Below are 4,189 nucleotides of genomic sequence, written 5' to 3'. Positions count from 1 at the left end.
TTTATATACTGGATTATATTTATTGATTTGCATATATTGAACCAGCCTTGCATCCCAGGGATGAAACCCACTTGATCATGGTGGATAAGCTTTTTGATGTGCTGCTGGATTCGATTTGCCAGTATTTTATTGAGGATTTTTGCATCAATGTTCATCAAGGATATTGGCCTAAAATTCTCTTTTTTGGTTGTGTCTCTGCCAGGCTTTGGTATCAGGATGATGTTGACCTCATAATATGAGTTAGGGAGGATTCCCTCTTTTTCTATTGATTGGAATAGTTTCAGAAGGAATGGTACCAGTTCCTCCTTGTACCTCTGGTAGAATTTGGCTGTGAATCCATGTGGTCCTGGACTCTTTTTGGTTGGTAAGTTATTGATTATTGCCACAATTTCAGAGACTGTTATTGGTCTATTCAGAGATTCAACTTGTTCCTGGTTTAGTCTTGGGAAGGTGTATGTGTCGAGGAATTTATCCATTTCTTCTAGATTTTCTAGTTTATTTGCGTAGAGGTGTTTGTAGTATTCTCTGATGGTAGTTTGTATTTCTGTGGGATCGGTGGTGATATCCCCTTTATCATTTTTTATTGCGTCTATTTGATTCTTCTCTCTTTTCTTCTTTATTAGTCTTGCTAGCGGTCTATCAATTTTGCTGATTCCTTCAAAAAACCAGCTCCTGGATTCATTAATTTTTTGAAGGTTTTTTTTGTGTCTCTATTTCCTTCAGTTCTGCTCTGATTTTAGTTATTTCTTGCCTTCTGCTAGCTTTTGAATGTGTTTGCTCTTGCTTTTCTAGTTCTTTTAATTGTGATGTTAGGGTGTTAATTTTTGATCTTTCCTGCTTTCTCTTGTGGGCATTTAGTGCTATAAATTTCCCTCTACACACTGCTTTGAATGTGTCCCAGAGATTCTGGTATGTTGTGTCTTTGTTCTCATTGGTTTTGATTGCACTGTGGTCTGAGAGACAGTTTGTTATAATTTCTCGTCTTTTACATTTGTTGAGGAGAGCTTTACTTCCAAGTATGTGGTCAATTTTGGAATAGGTGTGGTGTGGTGCGGTGCTAAAAAAAATGTATATTCTGTTGATTTGGGGTGGAGAGTTCTGTAGATGTCTATTAGGTCTGCTTGGTGCAGAGCTGAGTTCAATTCCTGGGTATCCTTGTTAACTTTCTGTCTCGTTGATCTGTCTAATGTTGACAGTGGGGTGTTAAAGTCTCCCATTATTATTGTGTGGGAGTCTAAGTCTCTTTTTAGGTCACTCAGGACTTGCTTTATGAATGTGGGTGCTCCTGTATTGGGTGCATATATGTTTAGGATAGTTAGCTCTTCTTGTTGAATTGATCCCTTTACCATTATGTAATGGCCTTCTTTGTCTCTTTTGATCTTTGTTGGTTTAAAATCTGTCTTATCAGAGACTAGGACTGCAACCCCTGCCTTTTTTTGTTTTCTATTTGCTTGGCAGATCTTCCTCCATCCTTTTATTTCGAGCCTATGTGTGTCTCTGCACATGAGATGGTTTTCCTGAATACAGCACACTGATTGGCCTTGACTCTTTATACAATTTGCCAGTCTGTGTCTTTTAATTGGAGCATTTAGTCCATTTACATTTAAAGTTAATATGTTTTGTGTGAATTGATCCTGTCATTATGATGTTAGCTGGGTATTTTGCTCATTAGTTGATGCAGTTTCTTCCTAGCCTTGACGGTCTTTACAATTTGGCATGGTTTTGCAGTGGCTGGTACCGGATGTTCCTTTCCATGTTTAGTGCTTCCTTCAGGAGCTCTTTTAGGGCAGGCCTGGTGGTGACAAAATCTCTCAGCATTTCCTTGTCTGTAAAGTATTTTATTTCTCTTTCAGTTATGAAGCTTAGTTTGGCTGGATATGAAATTCTCGGTTGAAAATTCTTTTCTTTAAGAATGTTGAATATTGGCCCCCCATCTCTTCTGGCTTGTAGAGTTTCTGCTGAGACATCCGCTGTTCGTCTGATGGGCATATCCTGCAGAGTGTTTTCCAACTTGGTTCCATTCTCTCCATCACTTTCAGGTACACCAATCAGACGTAGATTTGTCTTTTCACATAGTCCCATATTTCTTGGAGGCTTTGTTCATTTCTTTTCTTTTTATTCTTTTTTCTCTAAACTTCCCTTCTCACTTCATTTCATTCATTTCATCTTCCATCACTGATACCCTTTCTTCCAGTTGATCCCATCAGCTCCTGAGGCTTCTGCATTCTTCACATAGTTCTTGAGCCTTGACTTTCATCTCCATCAGCTCCTTTAAGCACTTCTCTGTATTGGTTATTCTAGTTATGCATTCATCTAAATTTTTTTCAAAGTTTTCAACTTCTTTGCCTTTGGTTTGAATTTCCTCCTGTAGCTCAGAGTAGTTTGATCGTCTGAAGCCTTCTTCTCTCAACTCGTCAATGTCATTCTCTGTCCAGCTTTGTTCCGTTGGTGGTGAGGAACCACATTCCTTTGGAGGAGGAGAGGCGCTCTGCTTTTTAGATTTTCCAGTTTTTCTGCTCTGTTTTTTCCCCATCTTTGTGGTTTTATCTACTTTTGGTCTTTGATGATGGTGATGTACAGATGGGTTTTTGGTGTGGATGTCCTTTCTGTTTGTTAGTTTTCTTTCTAACAGACAGGACTCTCAGCTGCGGGTCTGTTGGAGTTTGCTAGAGGTCCACTCCAGACCCTGTTTGCCTGGGTGTCAGCAGTGGTGGCTGCAGAACAGCGGATTTTTGTGAACCGTGAATGCTGCTGTCTGATTATTTCTTTGGAAGTTTTGTCTCAGAGGAGTACCCGGCCGTGTGAGGTGTCAGTCTGCCCCTACTGTGGGGGTGCCTCCCAGTTAGGCTGCTCAGGGATCAGGGGTCAGGGACCCACTTAAGGAGGCAGTCTGCCGGTTCTCAGATCTCCAGCTGCGTGCTGGGAAATCCACTGCTCTCTTCAAAGCTGTCAGACAGGGACATTTAAGTCTGCAGAGGTTACTGCTGTCTTTTTGTTTGTCTGTGCCCTGCCCCCAGAGGTGGAGCCTACAGAGGCAGGCAGGCCTCCTTGAGCTGTGGTGGGCTCCACCCAGTTCGAGTTTCCTGGCTGCTTTGTTTACCTAAGCAAGCCTAGGCAATTGTGGGCGCCCCTCCCCCAGCCTCGCTGCTGTCTTGCAGTTTGATCTCAGACTGCTGTGCTAGCAATCAGTGAGACTCCTTGGGTGTAGGACCCTCCGAGCCATGTGCGGGATATAATCTCCTGGTGCGCCGTTTTTTAAGCCCATTGGAAAAGCGCAGTATTAGGGTGGGAGTGACCTGATTTTCCAGGTGCCATCTGTCACCCCTTTCTTTGACTAGGAAAGGGAAATCCCTGACCCCTTGTGCTTCCTGAGTGAGGCAAGGCCTCACCCTGCTTCAGGTCGTGCATGGTGCACTGCACCCACTGTCCTGTGCCCACTGTCTGGCACTACCTAGTGAGATGAACCCGGTACCTCAGATGGAAATGCAGAAATCACCCGTCTTCTGTGTCGCTCACGCTGGGAGCTGTAGACCGGAGCTGTTCCTATTTGGGCATCTTGGCAGACAGACCCGTTCCCCACATTTTCTTAATCTAGTCTATCATTGATTGACATTTGGGTTGGTTCCAAGTCTTTGCTATTGTGAATAGTGCCACAATAAACATACATGTGCATGTGCCTTTATAGCAGCATGATTTATAATCCTTTGGGTATACACCCAGTAATAGGATTGCTGGGTCAAATGGTATTTCTATTTCTAGATCCTTGAGGAATCACCACACTGTCTTCCACAATGGTTGAACTCATTTACACTCCCACCAACAACAGTGTAAAAGCGTTCCTATTTCTCCACATCCTCTCCAGCACTTGTTGTTTCCTGACTTTTTAATGATCGCCATTCTAACTGGTGTGAGATGATACCTCATTGTGGTTTTTACTTGCATTTCTCTGATGGCCAGTGATGATGAGCATTTTTTCATGTGTCTGTTGGCTGCATAAGTGTCTTCTTTTGAGAAATGTCTGTTCATATCCTTCGCCCAATTTTGATGGGGTTGTTTGCTTTTTTCTTGTAAATTTGTTTAAGTTCTTTGTAGATTCTGGATATTAGCCCTTTGTCAGATGGGTAGATAGAAAAAATTTTCTCCCGTCTGTAAGTTGCCTGTTCACTCTGATGGTAGTTTCTTTTGCTGT

At 42.4% G+C, this 4,189-nt stretch overlaps 2 annotated features.

Annotated features, from left to right (window-relative positions):
• Positions 2,788–3,287: an enhancer, noted in NCBI's record as "H3K4me1 hESC enhancer chr6:87441389-87441888 (GRCh37/hg19 assembly coordinates)". NCBI's record gives its function as "activates a minimal SCP1, AML or CMV promoter by ChIP-STARR-seq in naive and primed H9 embryonic stem cells {active_cell/tissue: H9 hESC(naive and primed)}" and the evidence as "EXISTENCE:reporter gene assay evidence [ECO:0000049][PMID:30033119]".
• Positions 3,288–3,789: an enhancer, noted in NCBI's record as "H3K4me1 hESC enhancer chr6:87440887-87441388 (GRCh37/hg19 assembly coordinates)". NCBI's record gives its function as "activates a minimal SCP1, AML or CMV promoter by ChIP-STARR-seq in primed H9 embryonic stem cells {active_cell/tissue: H9 hESC(primed)}" and the evidence as "EXISTENCE:reporter gene assay evidence [ECO:0000049][PMID:30033119]".

This window comes from Homo sapiens, chromosome 6 (genome assembly GCF_000001405.40).
Source record: "Homo sapiens chromosome 6, GRCh38.p14 Primary Assembly".
Taxonomy (NCBI): Eukaryota; Metazoa; Chordata; class Mammalia; order Primates; family Hominidae; genus Homo; species Homo sapiens.
Note: the sequence above shows the minus strand (reverse complement) of the source record. Positions and strands in the feature narration are given on the sequence as shown.